This window comes from Homo sapiens, chromosome 6 (assembly GCF_000001405.40).
Source record: "Homo sapiens chromosome 6, GRCh38.p14 Primary Assembly".
NCBI lineage: Eukaryota > Metazoa > Chordata > Mammalia > Primates > Hominidae > Homo > Homo sapiens.
This window is the reverse complement of record NC_000006.12, coordinates 166455258-166477099: the sequence shown is the minus strand read 5'-3', so window position 1 is coordinate 166477099 and position 21842 is coordinate 166455258. Positions and strand designations below refer to the sequence as shown.

The following is a 21842-nucleotide window of genomic DNA, read 5'->3' as shown; positions in this document are numbered from 1 at the left end:
TAGTCTGAAAACCCCGCTGGGCAGAGTCACCTTCACCTGCACAGGCGGCCGGTTTTGTGGCTGGAACTTACCTCTGCTTCTGACTGCCGTGAGCCTTATTCTCGTTCCTCCAAAAGAGCCTGGAATTGAGTTCTCCCTTTGACCATCTGGGGAATTGGTGGCTGTTAGAGGCCTCGTTCTAACCCTGGGCCCTCGCATGGATATGCAAGGCAATCGCACACCTCCAGCTGCCCCTGTGTTGAGCCTGTCTGATAAGAGCTCTCAATGCCAGAGCTCTCCCGCCCTGGACTCGCCACACAGGACCTCAGGGCCCAATTGAGGGGCTGGGAGGAGGAGCAAATGCGTCTTCATTGCCTCCCACCTGTCCTCTCTTGGTGTCTCCCCTAGTGTGAGTCCCCTCGAGCTGTAGACTCTCCCTCTCTATGGCCTCCCCCAGGGAGAGAGGGGACCCTCTCTGCCTCTCGACCTCCTCACCCCTGCCTCTTCCTTAATGAGCCCCCACCAGCGGGAAGCCTCTGGATTTCCAGACAGTTCCGTTCAGTCCAGTTGACAGAGGGATCAGTGGACAAAACAATAAGCTAGAAATTAGGAAATCAAAGGAAAAATGTGCCCTCTGTGTGCGCACAGTGTAGCGAGAAACACGGATAAAAACACACGTCTCTAATGCCCAGCGGACCACAGTGAACACTGAGCTGTTCGTTGGCCGCCCCTCTGTGTGAGTTTCTTGGGGCAGCCTTGACAAAGAACTGCAAACTGGGCAGCTTGAACAGCAGAAATGTGTCCTCCCGCAGCTCTGGAGGCCAGAGGTCCAAGCTCAAGGCTGCAGGGCTGTGCTCCCACTGAAAGGAATGTGTCCCTGGCCGCTCCTAGACCCCGGGGCTTTGCTGGCCAGCCTTGACACCCCTGGCTGTGAATGCCACACCCTGACCTCCGCCTCCATCTCCATGTGGCCTTCTCCTCCGTGTGGGTCTGTGTCCAAATTTCCCCTTGTTCTAGGGACAGCAGTCATAGGAGATGAGTGCCTGCCCTGCTGATGCCGGACTCATTATACCTGCAGTGACCCCTTTTGCACATGTGGTCACATTGTGAGACATTGGGGATATTGGGGATTAGGGCTTCAGCATACAAATTTGGGGGAGTTGACCCCTCCCAGAGTTTCTGCACAGATATTGACAGCTGGAAGAGATGGCATAATGTGTTTATACATGTCCAGACTACCAGAAATACAGACGCATCTCATTCCTCTCTTACACTCTGCAGGTGAGAAAACGGCCCTCTGCCCCCGTGTGAGTTGCTCCAGGCTCCTAGGCTTCTGAGTCTAAGACTGGCATTTCTCCCACCTCCACATCCCCTGAAGATAAAATGTCTTCGTTCAAAAGAGTTCTAGACTGAATCCCCCTGCCTTCGTGTGTGATCTGTTCAGTGAATGTGTACTGAATGCCCGTAGCAGGTGCTGGCTTAGGAAGGTGGATGGCACTGCCACTGACCTCCAGAGGCCACTGGTTTGGGGCCACTGATCTATTTGAGTGGGGGCGACAGAGCTGCTCTGTGAGGACGCCTGGGTTGGGTCTCAGAAGATGTCCCAGATGCTGGACGGGGTGTGGGGGGAGGGGCCTTCTGGGCCCAAGAAACGTCACGTGCAGAGTAGTGGGAGGAAGGAAGGAAGAATGGCACACCTGGGGGCACGTGTGACTCTGCAATGTCCCCATGCCTGGGTGACGGGTGAGTGGAGAGGAGACAGAGCAGCCAGGGGCCGGGCCACGCTCGGGAGTACGCAGTGGGTGTGGTGAGCGTGGGGGCTCTCAAGGGTGCAGCCGAGGGGACACCAGTCTTGTTTCTTCGCACTGTTGTTCTGGTGGTTGTGTGGTTGTGAATTAGAGAAAGACCCTGGGGTGGCTGTAGCAGCATGGGGTGACCCAGTCTAAGCAGAAGCACCACAGGCTGGGGCACATCCCACGATAGAGGCCTTGGAGGGTCACACCCCTGCTCAGGCTGTCTGCTTTCTTGTCTGTGCGAGGAAAACGCCTCCCAGGTGGAGGACTCGGTGACTCTGAGTGATTTGCAAATCCAGGGACTTCAAAGAATAGAATAAAAGAAAGGTGAGAAAGGGGCTCCTGGCCAGCGCCCTCGGCACTGCACCCTGTAAGCACGGACCAAGGCAGCATCACGGGTAGGCTCCGGGATGAAGCTCTGCAGGAACAGGCTCAGCAGGACATTTGGTCCCTCTGTGCTTGGCGCTGCTCCCGGCTGAGATGGGAGAGGCTCGCGGTTGTGGGTGATGCTTCTGCTGAACAGGCTTTGTAGGGCTAGACCCTGGGTGTGGTGTTGGCTGCTTCTCATTACTTAAGTGAGTTCCATTTCTGATGGAAGTTTATACCATAGTGATGTCTAGAAACAGCTGTAAATGTATCCTGCACTGAGATCAGGAACTGCTGGGGTTTTCAGCACCAGTGTTTGTTATTTGTTATCTCCCGACTTCCCCCCCAGGACAGGAGTTTGCAGTGAGTATAAAACTTCCTAAGCCTACCTCCAAATCTTCCTTTTTTCCAAAGCTGACAGCTTTCTAGCTCATTCCTAATGAGCATCTGTAGCTTCTCCTAGAAACTCATGAGATATTCTGAGACTCCCAGGGGGAAGTTTAAAGTGAGGGAAAGGTTAGAAAGGAATTCGATGTGCTGATGAGCACAAAAATAGCACAGCAAATCAACGCCCATCACCTAAGCCAGGCGTGCTGTCTTCACAGCACACCTGCTGCCTGTGGCTGACGCACGGGCAGAGGTTTTCCGTTGCTCTTGTTACTGTTTTCCTGTCCAGAACTGATCTCCAGATGATGTGTTTTTAATGACTTCAAACGTGGTCCATTCTGATCCTCATCCCAGTTTCTACTGGCATTGCTGGGACTGCCTGTCATAAGCCAGGCTTTGATGGTTGCTGAAGACCAGGCAGCCCCACCCTCACAACCAGCCCTAGGGAGCCGCTAGAGACCCATGCCCAGGGCCTGTCTGCAGATCTGACTCCCACACCGCTCAAGCCTGAGCCCCTAGCCCATCCCTGACTCCTAACCGGCTGAGTCCTGTGGGACACGAGCGACTCCCTGACAAAGGGTGTAAACATGAAATAGATGAAATTTCAAATTGGCCAAAAAAAAAAAAAAAAAAACCTTTAAACAAATAATGTGTAGATAACCTTTAAGTGATGAAGAAATTGAAAAAGCAGACCTAGTATTTAAGTCAATGATGGAAGTTGCCCTGGATGGTTATAGGCTGGACATGGTGGGCTGGTTAGGAGAAGCTTGCAGTATGTAAGAAACCTAAGGAGGCAGCCAGTAAGATTCTACTGAATGTTCCCAGAAGTGTCGGAGATGGGTTTGTGTGACTCTCAAACAACAAAAATGAAAATATTGCAAAGGAGTCCCAAACCATGAATTAACCATCTCCTAAAGCTATCTGTGGATATACAGACACAATGCACACATTTTTGGCAGATACCAAAACCCTTTGGGAATCACCTGCTGAGAATTTAGAATCCCCACAATGAAATGAATGGCTTACCTCGTGAAAAATATGGAGTAGAAGAGCTGGACAGAATCGGTGCAATGAAAGAATAAATCATCCGTGCAGTGGCTCCTGCCTATAATCCCAGCACTTTGGGAGACCCAGGCAGGCAGATCACTTGAGCCCAAGAGTTTGACACCAGCCTGGGCAACATGGTGAGACCCCATCTCTACAAAAAATACAAAATATTAGCCAGGTGTAGTGGCACATGCCTGTAGTCCCAGCTACTCAGGAGACTGAGCTGGGAGGATCACCTGAGCCCAGGAAATCGAGGCTGCAGTGAGTCACGATCATGCCACTGCATACCAGCCTGGGCGACAGAATGAATCCCCCCAAAATAAAAAAAAAAATCCATTCACAGGCACTGCACTGCACTTTAGTCATTGATATGAGAGTTCCAACTGGTTGCAAAATTATACCCTTAACCAGAGAACAGCAATTGGAGACACAGACCCAGATAAACACATTAGGTGACGCCCCAATTTGGAGATAGACCACAAGCCATTTAAACAAACAGGATCAGGTGTTATTACTACCGAGAAGAAGTGTGATTCTTGAATCTTCTGTTCCCCTGAACCTTGAACTCCTATTTGCCCTGCATTAAGGAACTTAACGACAAATTGCTAAGCCTGACAGGAGGGAATTCCGGCCTTCTGTGCTCACAGTTTCTGTCCCTGTTCTTGTCAGTGCTTCATGATCTAGATGAGTGGCAGCAGTCCTCTAGAACCAAGGAAGGCCTTCAGTGCGTGTCATCCGCATCCCGTAGCGAGCCAGCCGTGATTCCAGCATCAGCCTGATACCTTCCGATTCTCCCCGCCCAGAACTCCACTCACCGTCATTTGTCCAGTGGGTTCAGTGGAGATAAAAAGGGGGAGCCGAGTGCAAAGTCACCTATTTTAACAAGAATAATAAACCTGACTGCCCTGGGAGGGTTGACACAGGTTTCAAGGTGCTGAGTGCAAAAGTCCTCCTCCTGTTTCATGTTTCCCCCTGTAATTGGAACCCCTGTAATTTTTTAGTGATAACCAAAGTGTTATTCCCCTGTTGACTCTTTTTGCTGAGGGCTTAAAATACAAACATGGTGCAAAATCTTACTACCTTAGGGGAAAGGAGGTAAAGATAGAAATGTGTTGATTGCAGTGATCCAGGTAAACCCAGCATATACCAGTTACATAGTAGTTATACCAATACCTGTATTTCCTCTGCCTCTCACTTTCTAAAATTCCTGCAGACCATATTTGCAAATGATGAACAAGAAGGAAATACAGTGGGTACAAAATGTGAAATAGATCCTCCAAAGAAGTACAGCCAACAAGTTGCCACACCTGTGCGTGTACCAGGGCCTCTGAACTGTTTGTTCCAATCTCCAGCCTTTTGAGAGTGCCTCTGGCCATGCGTCCAACAGTCACCAAACAAAAGAGTAGAGGAGAGGCACACTTCAGAGGAGGGTCTTTCTGTTAATCATCGTGACCAGAAGGACTCTTCAACCCAGAGTTCTGGTCATCATCAAAGGAGGCCTGCACACAGGATGGGCGCTTGGGGAGGGCTGTTTGGAAGTCAGACTGTCGCTCTGGAAATTTCATTACAGCAGCCACTGGTGCGCCTGCGAAGGCTCATGCCAGCTGCTGCGATTGCAAAGGCCTGGGATCAGATCCCTGGGCTCAGGGTTTAGAGGAGAACAAGGGAGCTAGACTGGGGACCCGGAGGGGCCTCAGCAGGGAGTCCTCGGGAAAGACACTTCAGAAGGTGGGGCACCTCAGCTGCTTTTCAGACATGTGCCTCCAAACCCAGTACCTGTAACTCATAACCTCTGGTCTGATTTTGAACAAGCTACCCAACCTGTGTCAGCCTCAGTGTCCTCGTCTGTAAAATGGGAACAGCAATTGTGCATCGGATGACTGAGATGTCCGTGTGCTATGTCTGTCCTATGATTCTGCGTCCTCATGGAAGGAGAAACTCCTGAATGTGTGCCCTTCCTCTAATTCCTTCTAGATGGACTTTCACGTCAAAGTGTGAATAACACAAAGCTGAGAGTGCTGTGAGAGTGCCTTCAGGGGCATTTAGTATGTGGGTTCGTTCCTAGCACCATGGCCCTGGCCAAGCTTCCAGGGTAAGGGGACTGTCTCTGAGCCGTTGACCACCTAGAGGCGCTTTCTGAGGCCACCACAGCCCCCGAGCCTCCTCCACATCACTGCCCAGAGTGCGGAATGGAGGGGTGGGAGGGGTCAGGACACGGGCAGTTCCAGCCAACGATGGCACCATCTGCTGTGACTCCCGGTGACCTGCGCCACTCCAGGCCAGCTTCCAGCCGGACAGGCCGGGCCACACCTGTGCTGACCACAGCATCCCCGGGCAGCCCCGCTCTTCCAGGAGTGAGAGCTGGACATGAGGGGGGCTCCACGAAGGGGCATACATGGCACAGGAGGCTCTGATTTGGAGCACAGCCGTTAGGAGTTGGCAGCGGAAAGGAACACAGCTTGCAGAACAGGGGAGCCGGGCCCCAGGGATCAGACCCTCCCCAGCCCTGGGCCCGGAGCTGGCAGGAATTCCCCAGCCACCGCCGCCACTGCCCCTTCCAGCCAAGCCCGCCTCTTCTCGGATTCGTGACCCGGGAGGATGGGCTCCTCTGTGGCCGTCCCATCCTGGAGAAAACACAGAGTCCTAGAGCTTTAGGGCCTTTTGTTTTTAATTAATAGACTTTGTGTTCAGAACAGTTTTAAGTTTACAGAAAAACTGAACAGAAACTGCAGCAAGATTCCACGGCCCCTCACTCCCTGCCCCACCGCTTTCCCGAACAGTAGTGCCTCCGTGAATGGGCACGCTTCTGCAGTCGGTGAGCTGAGCTACTGACTAAAGGCCTTGTCCACACTGGGCTCGTTCTGGGGGGACAGTGGCGATTTCTGGCAGATGAGTGGACATGTATCCACCGTTAGGGAATCATGCTGCCTGAAAGGGCCCCCAGCGCTCCGCCTACTCCTCCCTCCTTCCTTTCTGCCCCAGGGCCTTAGGATTGTACGCAACAAAGTAAGGGAGGAGGTTAGGTAGAAATAACAGAACAAAGCAGAGATATTTGTAAGCAGCCTCCAGGTAAACACAGTCACCTGTCTGAGCAGGCTCAGGGGTGGCCAGGTGTGGGCAGGAGGCTGGGCTCTGGCTTCCTCCGGGACTCAGTCCTGTCAACTCCTCTTCATTTCCTGGAATCCTTCCCTCCCGGGTTAACTGCAGCAGCTTTGCCAGGAACTCTGCTCTGCACCTTCCCCTCCGGCCTCCTGGGAGGTCCACCTGGTGCTCACACTCACAGGCACCTCAAGCTCCTGGGGGTGACAGTGGGGTGCTAGGCAGCCGTCACATGCAGCAGGCAGCACCTGGCTGGCCTGTCCCATGCTTCTCTTGACCACCTCTTTTGCTCACTCCAACCCCAGGCCACCTCTGCCTCACAAGCCCTCGGGGCTGAGTCGTGGCTTTCTGAGCTGGGGGCATCGGCAGGTGCGCAGGTGCCTTGGGCAGGAGTGAGCAGCCTCTGGGCTCCTTCCCACGGCCCCACCTCTGCACATCCCCACCCTCCACACTGCTGCATTGGAAACTGTCAGAGAACCCCATCTTGGATTTGTTCTGATGATCATTTCTGTGTTGTTGACAGGTGCTGGCATTGACGGAGTGGAGGAAATTAAGCGCCATCCCTTCTTTGTGACCATAGACTGGAACGTAAGTTGCATGCCACAGTCCCCACCTGCACACGCGTGACACAGAAGTGGGTGGAGGGAACATACGGCTTGGTGCAGAGGGTCCTCAGTGTCCGGGTCACAAGTAGGTCGGAGGTGAATGTAGACAAGCCACCTGCAGGCAGGGAGCCCCCAGGACCCTGCTGAGCGGGCTGGCAACTTGGGAGGCACAGACACGTGAGTGCCCCTCCCTCCAGCTTGAGGCCTGAAGTCCCCTCAGCTTTCCTCCTTCTACTCTCCTCTGCCCATCAGAGTCGAGGCTTCTGTCCTCCCTGCACCCACTCCCCGGCCTCTCCGAGCCCTGCATATTCCCGATTGCTCCAGGAGTGACTGTCTTCTAACCTCAAGGGCTGAACAGACAAAAGTCATGACAAGCTGCTCAACCAGGACCCTTTAGTGCTAGGGCTATGGGCAGGCCCAGATTCGATACTGCATTTTCCATCGTTAGTCAAGCTGATGCCCACGTGGAAGTCACATTTAAAAAAAAAAAAAAAAAACAACAGTGCCGAGTTGTTGGAATAAACTGGAGCTTCTGTTAGTGGAGTTATTGGTAAAGCCTCCATTTCCAGTTCTCTGGGCCAGGCTGGACATTGTCTGAGAAGTTCTCGTATCTCACTTTTCACCAAGCTACAAGTGTCAATTGCCTATTTCTGCCAAGACGCCAACTCCGAATGGTGAAGCAGTCAGCGTCTGACGCGTCCCCCACACAGGGAGTTCTCGCGGCTAAAACTCGGAGGCTGTTCCTTCCATCTGAGGAAGGCGATACCTCCTTTCCTATCAGTTGCTTTCAGCTCTTTCCTTTAGGTTAACACAAAAACAGCTATGTTGGGATTTTCTTTTCCTGACCTAACAAATTAACCTCAAAAGATTTTAATGGAACACTTTTTAAGATTTAAATGCCCTCTACAGTATAGAGTTTATTATCTGCTTTCGCTTTCCTCTCTGTCTTCTTTTTTTTTTTTTTTTTAGTCTCGCTCTGTCGCCCAGGCTGGAGTGCAGTGGCGCGATCTCGGCTCACTGCAAGCTCCACCTGCCAGATTCACGCCATTCTCCTGCCTCAGCCTCCCGAATAGCTGGGATTACAGGCGCCCCCACCACGCCCGGCTAATTTTTTTTATATTTTTAGTAGAGACAGGGTTTCACCGTGTTAGCCAGGATGATCTCGATCTCCTGACCTCATGATCCACCCACCTTGGCCTCCCAAAGTGCTGGGATTACAGGCGTGAGCCACCGCGCCCGGCCTCTGTCTTCTTTATGTCCTCATGGAGTCCGGGGCCTCCACGCATTTCATTAAGAGGTGGGCCCCACCTGCAGCCCCAGACCTCTCCTCTGGGAATGTGTAACACCAGTGCTGGATAAAACCAGCCAGCTCTCCTCTTCCTTCAGCCTGAGCCCCAGCAAAGCACTCAAACTGGGGAAGAGTGATAACTTTTTAAAACCTAGTTTTACAGTTCTGACTAAAGAACTTTCGTAAGATTAGACTTCTTTTCGAAAGTAAGATTAGAGAAAAGAGTGTAAAGTTTCAGGACATCTGTGCCTCCCAACCAGGACCTCCAAGAAATGAAAACCAAGGCCTCCCTTTGGAGTCTCTTACTTAGCTTCCCTGAAAATTTAGGCTTATCAGAAGCTCAGGCTGTGCTCACCTCACAGATGGGCACCTAAGGTCACTGTCATTCGACTCTGCGTTGGAATGTATTTTCTATGGAGACTTCACCTTACACGGCGTTTAGATCTCAGGCAAGCCTGTTTCATGAAGAATGGACCTGGGTGTCAGCCTGTGGATGGTTAGCACAGCACTGTGCCTGGAACCCAGATGCCTGCCCCTCAGGGGGTCACAGCATGTTGCATCCCCTCCCCTGCCTGCCAGTGGTTAAGGTGGGACCACACAGCTTCTCCCCGTATGATCTGCTTCTCCATTTATCCAGCCCTTTCTGCTGGGCGTCCCAGTCTCAGGCACTTTCCAGGGCTGGGGATAGAGCCGTAGATGGAACAAAGTCCTGCACCCGTGGGTCTTGTGATGACTTGGCAGAGAAAGGCGGTGGACAGATGGGTCTGCACATGTCACAGGAGGACACTGTGCTGACAAGGAGGATGCAGCAGGGGACAGATGGAGAAGCACACGAAAGTGGTCAGGACAGCCACACCTCACCCCTCCCATCCTCACGGAGCCTCCTTCCCATGCCTCCATGGAACAGGTTCCCCCCAAGCACTGGCTCCAGCTGGTCTGGCTTCCAGGGCCCCTCCTGCCCAAGTCTCCCAAGGGCTCACTGGTCTCCTCCTTCCAGTCTGCCATTCAGTGTCATCTTATGAGACCTGTCCTGCGGCTCTTCCAAACTGCAGCTCCTCTCCCAGCACCCCAGCCCCCGGCCTTGCTCTGTTTTCATATCCCTTATCACTTTCTGACTCGCCTCAAAATACCATGTGTTTCTGATGTATATTATTATTTTCTGTCTCCTGCCACTAGAATGTAAGCTGCAAGATCAGGAATCTGTGGCTTAGAGGTGTATCCCACAGCTCTAAAACAGGGCCTGGCTCAAAGGAGGCACTTTATGAATCCCTACTGAGTGAGTGAATGGATGAGTGAGGGAAGGAGGGAGTGAATGAGTGAGGGAGTGAATGAATGAGTGAGTGAGTGAATGAGTAAGGGAGTGAGTGAGTGAGTTAATGAGTGAGTGAATGAATGAGTTAATGAGTGAGGGAGTGAGTGAATGAGGGAGTGAGTTAGAGAGTGAATGAGTGAGGGAGTGAGTGAATGAGTCAGTGAGTCAATGAGTGAGTGAATGAGTGAGGAAGTGAATGAATGAGTGAATGAATGAGTAAAGGAGTGAGTGAGTTAATGAGTGAGGGAGTGCATGAATGAGTAAGGGAGTGAGTTAATGAGTGAGTCAACAAGTGAGGGAGTGAGTGAAGGAATGAGTGAATGAGGGAGTGAGTGAATGAGTGAGTGAGTGAATGAGTAAGGGAGTCAGTGAGTGAGTTAGTGAATGAGTGAGTGAGGGAGTGAGTGAATGAGGGAGTGAGTGAACGAGCAAATGAATAAGTGAATGAGTCAGTGAATCAGTGAATAAGTGAGTGAATGAGTCAGTAAGTCAGTGAATGAATCAGTGAATGAATGAGTGAGACTCTCAAGACAGGAGTCACAGCTGTCGAGGGAGACTTGCCCCCTCCATTTCCTCACTCTCACACTCTAGTCCTTCCTCCAGAGACCATGCCTGGGAGAATGGAGAACCAGGATTGCTGGGCTGGGAGGGGGAGCTGCAGGTGGGCAGGGCAGCATCCTGGGATGGGAGACCCTGAGGGCTGCAGCTGGTAGGAAAGAGAAGTCTCTTCACACCGAACCCCCAGGTGACACAGTGCAACACAGAGCACTCAGCCAAGAGTGGAGCCACTCCAAAGTATGCATGGCCCAGAAGGGCTTACGCACTTGCTAAGACAACCTTGTGAGATGCCTGGAATTTTAACAATACGATGGATTTGGAAAACTATGACACATTAGATTAATGTGCATTCCAGAATGCTGAGGTCCGGCGAGCTCTGAGCAGAAGCCGCCTTTTTCCTGTGGCAATAAGAGCCTTCTCTACACAGCGCCTCTGCTCAGGGTGCTCTGGTCTCCCTGTGGCTGGAAAGCAAACACAACCCAAGAAGGTGGCATTTCTGCGTGATTTCAAAGGAATCAGACTAGAATCAGAGCTGAGAAGTTCCTTTTGTTGCTCTTAGCACTTAATTTGATTTTATTTTGGCCTTGTTTTCGTTTTGAGAGAGGTCCTTGTGATTGATCAGAACCAGGCGTGTTTCCTTCATGTCTGTACTTCCCAGAGGAAGGCAGGCAGCAGTGCTAGAGGAATGGCAGGCTCTTGTTCTGCCCAGCGCCCTGAACCCACACAGCCCGTGAGTGGCAGAAGAGCTCAGAAATGCCACTTTTGCATTAATTCATGCATTTGATAAATAACGCTTGGTGCTCACCCTGGTGGTGCACCAGCAAAGTGTCCATGTCCATGACGTCACAGCTGGAACGCAGAGCCCCGTCCTCCAGCTGCTCACAGACTGAGGAGTCTGCTGTCCCATAACGCCATCATCCACCGATGGAAGAGGTTTGTGCACAGTGAAAGTGGCCAGCAGAAAGAGAGAGAAATGATGCCTGAAAGAGGGCGAGTGGAATTAACCAGCAGAGGGGCAGAAGGAGGAGAAGAAGGATGCTTCCAGCAAAGATGTGTAGGCATGAAAACACCGTGTTCAGGACACCGCGTAAACTGCAGGCACAGTCCCGCTCCGTGATGGTCTTAGAAGCTGTCAACATCTTGCTAGGATGAGTCCAGTGGTCCCCCCATCTCAGCTGATCCTCTCTCATGAGTCAAGTTTGCCCGTGTGTTCTCCTGTGTCTGCGGCCCCAGTAGCAGCCCATGTGTCTTCATGGCTAACCTCAAACCCCAATAACACATCCAGGCAAGCCATCAACCCATTCTTCAGAAAGCAGGGGCTAAAATGCAAGATGTTTAAAGGTATTTATTTAAGGGGTAATTTTACTCCGTGATGTATTTGTCCAGATGTGCCCATTCTGCTTTTCGGCAGCTCAGAAAACTGAAAACCACAGTTCAGCCTCATTTGCAAGAACTGTTAACACCAAAAGCCGTTCCCTCTGCAATGCAGACACTCCTTAATGACGAATGAGAAGACATTTCCTAACCACTAGATTTCTGCCTGGGTACTTCACCCAATGGCTTGCCTCAGGATCCAACTGGGAAAATATTAGGATATTTATTTTGCTTTCTGCTGCTCTCTGTGATCCGATACTGCCAGCAGATCTTTTTATTTATTTATTTATTTATTTATTTTTTTAAGTAAACACCTGTCATCCCACTGCTGTCCCCGGGGTCTTCAGTGGCCTGCTGGAGCAGGACCCATCTGCTGACAGTAAGTGTGGGGACGGTGGAGGTGTGGGCTGCTGCCTTTTAATTTAGCTTCAGAGATGAGCGAGTGAACGTCTGCACGGGAGCCATTCCTTCTGAAGGCCAGCTCTGCTTGATGAGCTGAGTGAGAAGCCACGAGTTAATGATCGGACTACAAACCTCTGCAGAGGATACGGCAGAGTCCAGCAGATAGAAGCTGTGTTGGTTTTTCCCCCGTGGCTGAAGCATGCTGAGAACACAGAATTAGCACGAACCCAAAAAAAGCTTCGTAAAAGTTAATCACTGCAGACAGCACAAGCCAGTCTGAGGACGGCTCCCAGCCCAGCCTGGCGTCCCTTGCAGGGGGACCCAGGGAACTGCAAATATTATTACAGGCAGTGAATGATGATGCTGGAGACACACAGTCACCAGGGAGGGACATCTTTGTTTCTGGAACTCTGTCCAGGGCCTAGACCCTTAGTATTGCACTGACTCTTATTATTACTGTTATTCGTTATTCATGATCAATACTAGTAGCTCATGTTTATGTTCTTTGTACAGTTTGAAACCCTTCCAAGCACACCATTAGCTGTGATGCTGTGAGATGGGAGAAACTTGTAGAGGAGACTGAGGCACAGGACAATGAGAAGCTTGAGGTCGCTCGGTGATCTGGCAGCGCGTGGGGTGTGCCCTGAACTTGGCTGTTGTGTGTCCTGGCAGGAGCAGAGGGTGGGTTCCGGGTCTTCAGGCCACTTTGGTCTTCTTGCCCACAAGTGGAGTATTTGCAGTATGGCGCAGAGAGTGGTTTGGGGGTGTGGGAGCTGTAGGCTGCGGGTCAGGGCCTCACAGCACAGGCGTCTCCATGCAGCTGTTGCTCCCATTGCCAGCAGCGAGATTTCTATCCTTTTATTCCTACATTATATACACTAGGAGCACTCCCCCTTCAGGGAACCCAGCAAGGACTCTGTGCAATGAATCATCACCCTTCAGGTGCTTCTTCTGTTGGACCCACCTACAGCCGGGTAAACTGCAGGCACAGTCCCGCTCCATGAGCCACTGACCTGTCACACCCATCGTGACGCTTTGAAAATCGTTTAGATTCTTCCTGCGGCGCTTTCGATCCTGTCTTCTCTCTGGTCTGCATATTTTTGCATTATTATTTTAGGAATAATCTATAAATGTGCCCTTTGCCTTATTGGAGCGTATTAATTCCAAAATGCCTGAAGCCAAAACCGTCTACAGAAGGCAGATGTTAGGGTCTGAGACCCCAAACTAGCATCTGTTTCCTATGTCATCACCCAGTTCCCGTTTTTCTGTTGCTGTCTCGGTCCTCTTCTCACTTAGCTGAAGGTCTTTAGTATAAATAGAATCCTGATGGGCCTGCTCCGGGCTTCCTCACGTGCGCTTGTTTCCCGTGAAATTCGTTTCAGCCCTGCGGCCACACTGTGTCATTCTGACATCCTGGGACAAATGAGATGATTTTAAATGTGCCTGGCGAATTTGATCATGAGACTGCATTTTCTCTCGTCGGTTTCGGCATGAATTGTCCCAGAGTCTCAGAAAGGGGGGATCCAGGGCAGAATTGCCAGTGTCTGTCTCGTTAAGCTCAGAATCCCAGGTGAGATGCTGCTGCTGTTTCACTCTCAACACAACCCTGCCTACAGTGGTTTACATACAAAGCAAGAGGCCGGATGACTTCTCCCCCAAAGCCTCAAACCCGTTCTTAGGTTTGCACATGGAAAGAAAAAGCATACACAGTAATAACACATATTAGCACCTTCCAAATGTTTACGCAGCATCAGGAAGACATTGACCGGCCTTTAAGATTGCAGCAAGCCTCGAGGAAGCCGTCCAAAGGGCCAGAGTGACCGGCTCCAGTTGGCCACCGGCGGCCCGCACAGAACCTCACTGCCTGGCCCAGACCAGAGTGAGAACGCAGCAGCCTCCAGCAGGTGGGGCATGGTGGTCTGCAGGCCCCAGTGAACAGGCTGTGTTCATAGCTGCGGTTGGCACACGGACCCATGTTACGGGGTGGCCAGTTGCCTGAAGGCTCCCGCGGCACAGAAGGAAGGCCCTGGCCCTCAGCAAGCGCTCCGTCCACTCTCACACGCATGCCTCCCTCTGGTCTTGTTGGGGTCTGTGAGCTGAAAGCCTGGGCTCACAGCCGAGGGGTGGAAAGCACGGGGAAAGCAGAGGCGGGCTTCCTCCTGCTGCCGTGTGAGGGGGAGCTATTTGTGTGGTACAAAAGTGCTACGGGACTACCTGGGCTTAGGACCTCCTCACTGGGCATCCCAGGTGACTCGCAGCACCGGGCTAGGCACAGATGGGGCAGAGCACAGGGGAAGTCTGAGCCCAGCCCCCAGGCGCAGTGTCCTGGGCTGGAGGGAACCGGGACCTGACTTAGCAGCAGATACTTAGTATTAAAGGAGTGGGATGGCCTCAGCCCAGAGGAGGTCACAGCAGTACCAGTGCTGGGCTGTGAATCTGACTTAGAAGGCAGGAAGGTGACAGCCTCTGGATGTGAGCCTCCAGAGGCAGGGTGGTCACAGATAGAGCCTGTGCTTTCCTGGACAGCTGTGAAGCGAGGCTGTGGTGCCTGCCCCATCGGTGGACGAGGAGGGAGAAGGATGTGGCCTGTAGGAAGCCAGGCAGAGCCTGCAGCCCTGCCCCACCGGGGGTTCCATGGGGAGGGGAAGGGGTTCCAAGGACAGTGGCCAGTCGCCTCAACATCCAGTCCTCCTTCTTGAAGAAGCTGGTTGACGTTGCACTTTTGAGGGTTGGAGCAGAAACAAGGCAGGAAGGGTGAGGTAGAGAAGGAAGCAGGCAGGGCCAGGGTCTCCCACCTTCACCCTGGGTGGCACCTGCGCGATGCTGTGTGGTGGGGCTGTTATGGGTGGCTGGGTTCTGCACACCCTGGCCTCCACCCCTTGGGAGCCTGCAGCGGTCACACAGGTGTGGCAGCCAGCAGTGTCTTTGGGCACTGCCAAATGTCCCAGTGGGGGCAAAACCCCTCTATGAAGAAGCACTGGGCACCAGGCTCTGGGGATGGTTTTATCAGAGGCTGTGGTGGGGCAGGGGCAGGGGTGGGCAAGATGGGTCCCCAGGATGATGGAGGAAGAGCTGGCACGGAGGAGAGGAGCTAGAGGGGCCATGTGGGCCCCTGCTTTCCGGAGGTAAACACTTCACACTGGAATGAATACGTGACAACCAGTTTTGTATTTTATTTTGTTTTTAATGGAAATCTCTTGTGTAAATAAATTCCTCCTCATAATAAAAGTAGGAGGCCTGGCTCTGTGCTGGATCGAGCTAGTGCGTGCTCTCTCTCTTTCTTACCCCCTTCCCCTCCCCCTCCCCCATTTCTCCCCTCCTCCCCTCCGTCTCTTTCTCCCCCCACCCCCTCTCTCCCCATCTCTCCCCATCTCTCTCTCTCTCTCTCTCCACCTCTCTCCCTCGCTTGCTCTCACACAGAGGGAGGATGTGATTTTGACTTCAGCAGGATTCTTAATAGCCCGGCTCTCAGGACTCTCTGGGTGGGGAATGGGCTGCACTGGCCTGTTCGTGGCACCCGATGGCCTGGGCTTCCCAGCTCAGGAGACTTCCTCAGGCAAGCACATGTGTCTGGGGAGATTATTCCCACCTGTCCTGTGCCTCACTGCAGAAAGCAGCGTCTTTTCATTTCTGAAAATGGCTTGAAGAGTAACTCGGTGCTAATGAAATCTATGCCCCCAAGGCAGGAAATGAGCAAATAATTCAGGGCTGAATTCAATCCTGTTTCTCCTCCGATGGTTCCCGCGTGCACGCCCTGAGCTCTTGCACATCAGGGCACATCCTGCTGCCTGATAAGCCCCCGGGGGAGCTCGGGGGCGTCTGTTGGCACCTCGCCCTCCTGCAGTAGCTGTGGGCCCTGGTTTCTGGCCTGGGCTCTGACCCAGGTGCTCCCGGATAAGCAGAGCAGGGTGTGCCCCAGGTGGGACCCAGATGTCAGACGCCCTCCTCCCTCCTCTCCCTTCCCGTCGGGCCTCATCGGAGGAGGTGTTGAAATTTGCTTTCCAGAGATGTAGAACAGGTTTTAGCTGGAGTCACTGTGTCCATTTTCCAGAGCTGCACGGCCATGAGGGTCCCTGAGTCCAGAACTGAGCTCTAGATGGTCACACACAAGTGCCCAGGACAGGACTCCAGGCTGGATGTTTTCTGCGAACACCGTGGGGACCCTCCCTAGGCAGGATTAAGGAAACCCCATGCTCAGTGGGGGGCAAGACCCCAGCCTGGCCCTGCCCTGCTGCTGCCCTGCTAACTACCAGGCTGGCCCCTCAGCACACTGGCATGGCCCGTGCCTTCTGTCGTCAGGGTGATTTGACTAAACCCAGCATCCTCTACTGAATCTGCCCGGAGGTCCCTCGGCCTTCCAGTCAGGCCTCAGGCCCCAGTCCTCCCTCCAGTGCCCCTCCCCCTCCACACTTCTCTCAGCACTGGGCTCCCCCGGCTCCCTCCATCTAAGCACCACCTGCAGCATCACCCGCCTGAGGACTACGCCAGGTTCCAGGTACCTGTGTGTGCTTTCTTTACATTGAATTCCCAACAGAATGCCTTGTTGCCCTAGAGGATTGAAAACAACACATCTCAGCTTTGGAAAGCATTGTCAGGCAGGCAGCTCTGAGACCGGAGCACAGAGGGCTGTGGACTTTCTGTGCCTTCTGTCCAAGGTCCTGTTGGGGAAATAAGTTTGGGCCCAGAGGGGGCATGGGAAGGGCCGGTTCTCTGCAGATGCAGGCGTCCTCCTGTCGAGGAGCCTGGGCGCCCTCATTCTGACACCCAAGGCAGGTTTCTGGCAGAGGTGCCAAGGCCCCAGAGCACAGGCCCTGAGACACTGGCAAGAGAGCACCCTGGGGTGGCTCTGGGTCGGCGGTTTTTGCAGTGCCCCGCAGAGCTGAAGTTCCGTGGTGCTGGCCCCAAAGTCCCAGGGCAGGGAGGAGAGAGCCACACGGCCTCTTCACTGCTGTCCCCAGTGGGGGCAAGTGGTGGCTGTCCTGTATGATTTTACTTGGAAAAGAAGATTCTACTACCAAGAAGAAGCTAGAAAACTATTGCCCTAAAATGAAGAACACTTGGCATGTCCCCAAACCCTCATACCTCAAACTATGCCTTTTCTATACCTTTCTATAATACATCGTTATTATATATGCCATAGTATCTATCATACTACACATAATATATTTTATGCCATCTATATTTCAGAGTATTTAGAAATCCCTTGTAATCCACAAGGCCAATGCAGTCTGTGATAAGAACATCCTTCCCTCCCCACAGCAGGTTTCTCTGTCCCCAGTGTTCTGTGGCAATGTCTGTGCATCCTCAGTGCCCTGTCTTGCTTTCCTTGTATTAATAGACGCTGTACCGGAAGGAGATCAAGCCACCGTTCAAACCAGCAGTGGGCAGGCCTGAGGACACCTTCCACTTTGACCCCGAGTTCACAGCGCGGACGCCCACAGGTGTGTGCCACAGTGGTTCCCTCTATCGGTGGCTTCTCCCACCTGACCCCTTAGAGACAGATATCTAGGAACAAGAAATTCCCATGCCTCAGAATTCTTTTCATGGAAAATAACTGTCCATTCTGTTTGGGTTTTTTGTTGTTGTTTTCTCTGCTCAGTGATAAAGGTTTAAGTGATAGCCCCAGTTCTCTGTTGTTCCCTATATAACCTCCACCTTGGAAATGATGAAGGTATCCTTATTCCAAGACACCGGTCCAGTTACTTCCTGTGTCAGAGAGACACACAGCAAGAGCAAGAAAAGAAACTGGAGGCAATTAAAATCCCTCTTTCAATTAAAGTGCATTTACGGAGAGGGAAGGCTGTCAGTTATGTCTATAGATTTATGAGCTATAGATATTATTCATGCAAAAAACAGAAACCCATTTGAAAAGTAGTATCGGCTACTAAATAGCACAGCAATTGGATGCATAGATTTGGTCTCCTGGTGTGTCTGAAATTACTCTTGGGGTCTAGCAAATTTCATCAGAACTGGTCAGCTCCCTTTAAAAGTTATCTTTTTGGGATATTAATGAATTAAAGTCTGCTTTTTTATATATGGTAATTATCCTGGTCTGATAGGGCTATCATAACAAAATACTACAGACTGTGTGGTTTAAACAACAGTCATTTATTTTCTCACAGTCTGGAGGCTGGAAGTCCAAGTTCAAGGTACTGACAGGGTTGGTTCCTGGTGAGAGCTCTCGCCTTGACTTGCAGACAGCTGTGTTCTTGCTGTGTCCCCACGTGGCCTTTCTTCTGTGTGTGCAAAGACAGCAAGATGGAGCTCTGGTGTCTCTCTGTCTTCTTATAAGGACACTAGTCCTCTTGGATTAGGGCCCCACACTTTTATCCTCACTTAACTTCAGTTATTCTCTTAAAGGCCTGTATTAGTCTGTTTTCACACTGCTGATAAAGACATACCTGAGACTGGGCAATTTTTCAAAAGAAAGAAGTTTAGTGAATTTACAGTTCCACATGGCTGAGGAAGCCTCACAATCGTGGCAGAAGGCAAGTAGAAGCAAGCCCCATCTTACGTGGATGGCAACAAAGAGAGAGCTTGTGCAGGGAAACTCCCCTTTTTAAAACTCTCAGATCTCATGAGACTCATTGACCATCATGAGAACAGCACAGGAAAGACCCACCCCCATAATTCAGTCATCTCCCACCAGGTCCCTCCTACAACACATGGGAATTATGAGGGCTCCAAGATGAGATTTGGGTAGGGACACAGAGCCTGAGATTTGGGTGGGGACACAAAGCTGAACCATATCAAGGCCCTGTCTCCAAATACAGTTACACTTGGGGGTAGGGCCTTAACATTTGAATTTGGGAAGGACATAATTCAGTCCACAACACTAACAGTATGCTGGTTATGTACAAAACCATCCACAAGCTCCTTCTGTAGACATAAGTGGGACAAGTCCAGGGAGCTGGTGGTTGGCCAGGCTGCATCTTGGATCTACGGGGATTCACTGTATTTTTTCTCGCTGCTTTTGAATCTGAAATTTTCTTATTTTTTAAAAGATAATCGGGAAACAAATATATGGTCAACCACAAAATGTCAGGTAGATGAAGTTAGAGAATCCACTTTGTTCCTCCAGATTCAGCTGTTGGTGAAATCCCTGTTTCCCATATACCCAGATGAACACATTGAGGAGGGTGTGAGCGTGTGCAGATAGGGAGGGTTGCGGGGCTTTTAGCGGGACTTTTGATGGGCCTAGGCCAGCTCCTGACCCAGGCCACATTGGTACCAAGAACAGGAAGAAAGCTGATTCCGGGCACTGTAAACCAGGGAGTCATGCCACCGGCTGCTCAGTTACTTCTTTTGGGTCATCCTGCAGTCCCCAGGTAGAATTAAAACTATCATTATAGCTTTGGTTCATCACTGATTCATGATGTAATGAGGCTGCCTTGGAGAACACTTCTGGGTCTGCTCTCTCCGGTAAGTGACTGTGGGATTTTCACCTCACCCCATTCTCAGCTTCCTTAGAAAGTATTTGTGTGTTGGGGTTGGTCCTTCCCATTGACAAACTTAACCCAATTCACAGAACAGGATTACTTTTCAGTTTCTGAGTTTGAAAAGATGGGGCAGGATTTGGGGATTCCCTCCTGCCCCTGCCCACAGGTCACCCAAGCAAGTCATGATATTTCTCCACCTATTGTTGGCCTGAATGTAAAAGGAGCTCAGAGGCAATTAGGTCTGACCACGAGATCGTTGTCCCTAAGTCCACAAGGACCATAAGGTCCCTAACAGAACGTGCACACATCCTCGTGAGGTGCCAACATGTGGGGCTGTGTGTTTAAAATGTGGAAAGAAAGTCTATGTTTGTGCTGCTTGGTAAGAAAATGTTAATACAGTCAACTCTAATATTCATATGGACATGCCTTTTATCTTATCTGTGAAGAATTTAAACCCCAACCTAGTTGGCCAGTGGAACCGGAAGCTTTTTTTGAGCTTCTAGAGAATTCCATTGTATTTTAATAATAGCCTAAGGAAAACATAATTAGACACAATGCACTCCAGTGCTATTCAGAATTGCCTTTTTTATTCCTTAGTGTTTCCAGTTCTCCAATCAGTTTCAGTTAATTTATCACACCACTGTTTGCCTTTGAGGTAGGTAGTAATTGAAGTGCTAAAGACACATTAAACTCATTCTGATTTGTACAGGAGAGTAGGATTTTCTAAGCATGTGAGCTGAGCACATGGCTGGGTGAATGAGCAGCTGTAGAAATGTGACTCTGAAGCAATGGATAAGCTACAAATCCTCTATGTTAGATCCTGGACTCACAGTGGGAATTTCTTACAGTTAGGCTTTCAGTCTTTTCTGAAACTTCAGCCAGCGCTCAAGCTGGTTTCTATTCCCTGATCACACCTTGGCTGCCCCCTAGAGCATGCTGCTTAGCCCGAGATGCCAATCTAAGATTTTAAACCGATCAGGCAGACTCCACAAATCAGGAAATACCCACAGGACCATGAGAGGTTGTTTGTAATTACTGTAGTTCTACATCTCCTTTTATCTGACTCACAATTTTGCTCTTCTTAAATACTGTGCTGAAAATCGGCATCCCTCAGGTGATTATAAAGTGCTTTAAATTCTATTTAGGCCACCTGTCATTTCCTTACTAGCTAGCCACACCGACCAAATGTCAGCCTCTTAACTTTTGGTGAAGATCCACTTGGCCTTCGGTAAATTGCTGTTACTTTTACCCTTTCCGCAGGCTCTCCTTGGTCTGTGTGAGGAGAGGCATGGGTTCTCTGGCCACGGAAGGTTGTGGCTGTGTCTTCCGTGCCTCTTGGTTGGTTAGAAGACATTGCTTATTGGAATTACAGATTTTCCATTCACCAATGAAACTGTGTCTGTCAAGTTAACATGGCCTGTGCCCCCACCCCCGCACACACTCCTCCACAGGCTGTAAATTGGACTCCCAATCCTTGCTCAGCACTTCACACTCGTGTGGCTCTGCGGATTCCCCAGAATAAGCTCAAGCTCTGAGTCTAAATCCCTAAGGGAAGACATCAAAGTGCCTCCAGGTTTGAAGATTTCTTAAACCATGATGTAGCCATGTGTGTTTCATTTTTCCGGGGGAGAATCTGCGGCCCGTGGTAGCTCAGGGGATCTTTGGGAGGAGGCAGACCTCAAAGCCAGACTTTGTGCAGAGAGCAAACCGGGTGTAGCAGGAGCGCCTCCTCCTCGAGCGGCTCCGTGTGCCGCGAAGCAGAGCCGCTCAGAAAGCCCCGAGCTTCTCTGCCGGGTCGCGCTGCAGAATTTCAGTTTCTAAAAACCACTCAGGGTACCTTCGGTTTTTTAACGACGCTTCGCTAGTCTGGAGCGTTGGAAGTTTATTTCCAAACACAGCCGACTCTGGTCACATTAGTCCAGGGGTCGCGTGGGCATCTACCTGGGGTGACTGTGAAGGCCCCTTTTTTGGCCCCTTTGAGGGCCGACACCTGGCTCTAGCTGCCTCTTGGTTCAGGACACTGAAGATGAGCCCGGGTCCATGACGCTTCCTACCCCAGGAAGAGCACCAGTGGGACGCTGCGTCGTCCATCTGCCCACGGCCTGGCCCCCGCTTGCACCAGAGGCCCACGCGGCGTGGGGCCCGGCTCCTGGGCTTCGGAGCGGCTGCCCTCATAACCGTTGTCCCCAAAAT

The 21842-nt window shown here is 51.4% G+C and overlaps 1 protein-coding gene and 1 long non-coding RNA gene across 10 annotated transcripts in view, besides 3 other annotated features; both read left to right on the top strand.

Annotated features, from left to right (window-relative positions):
* Positions 1 to 21842, top strand: part of RPS6KA2 (ribosomal protein S6 kinase A2) — a 453410-nt gene that overhangs the window by 385674 nt on the left and 45894 nt on the right. For all 9 annotated transcript variants that reach the window (XM_047419235.1, NM_001318937.2, NM_001006932.3 and 6 more), the window contains 2 exons: positions 7195 to 7259; positions 17549 to 17651. In XM_047419235.1, coding sequence (XP_047275191.1) covers positions 7195 to 7259; positions 17549 to 17651 — 168 coding nt within the window. The remainder of the gene's footprint in view (positions 1 to 7194; positions 7260 to 17548; positions 17652 to 21842) is intronic.
* Positions 400 to 1046: an enhancer, noted in NCBI's record as "H3K4me1 hESC enhancer chr6:166889542-166890188 (GRCh37/hg19 assembly coordinates)". NCBI's record gives its function as "activates a minimal SCP1, AML or CMV promoter by ChIP-STARR-seq in naive H9 embryonic stem cells {active_cell/tissue: H9 hESC(naive)}" and the evidence as "EXISTENCE:reporter gene assay evidence [ECO:0000049][PMID:30033119]".
* Positions 5770 to 6673: an enhancer, noted in NCBI's record as "H3K4me1 hESC enhancer chr6:166883915-166884818 (GRCh37/hg19 assembly coordinates)". NCBI's record gives its function as "activates a minimal SCP1, AML or CMV promoter by ChIP-STARR-seq in primed H9 embryonic stem cells {active_cell/tissue: H9 hESC(primed)}" and the evidence as "EXISTENCE:reporter gene assay evidence [ECO:0000049][PMID:30033119]".
* Positions 6674 to 7577: an enhancer, noted in NCBI's record as "H3K4me1 hESC enhancer chr6:166883011-166883914 (GRCh37/hg19 assembly coordinates)". NCBI's record gives its function as "activates a minimal SCP1, AML or CMV promoter by ChIP-STARR-seq in naive H9 embryonic stem cells {active_cell/tissue: H9 hESC(naive)}" and the evidence as "EXISTENCE:reporter gene assay evidence [ECO:0000049][PMID:30033119]".
* RPS6KA2-IT1 (RPS6KA2 intronic transcript 1) lies at positions 11717 to 16437 on the top strand. The gene is made up of 4 exons (NR_046793.1): positions 11717 to 11775; positions 13593 to 13780; positions 13959 to 14114; positions 16262 to 16437. It is a non-coding gene; the product is annotated as an RPS6KA2 intronic transcript 1 (long non-coding RNA).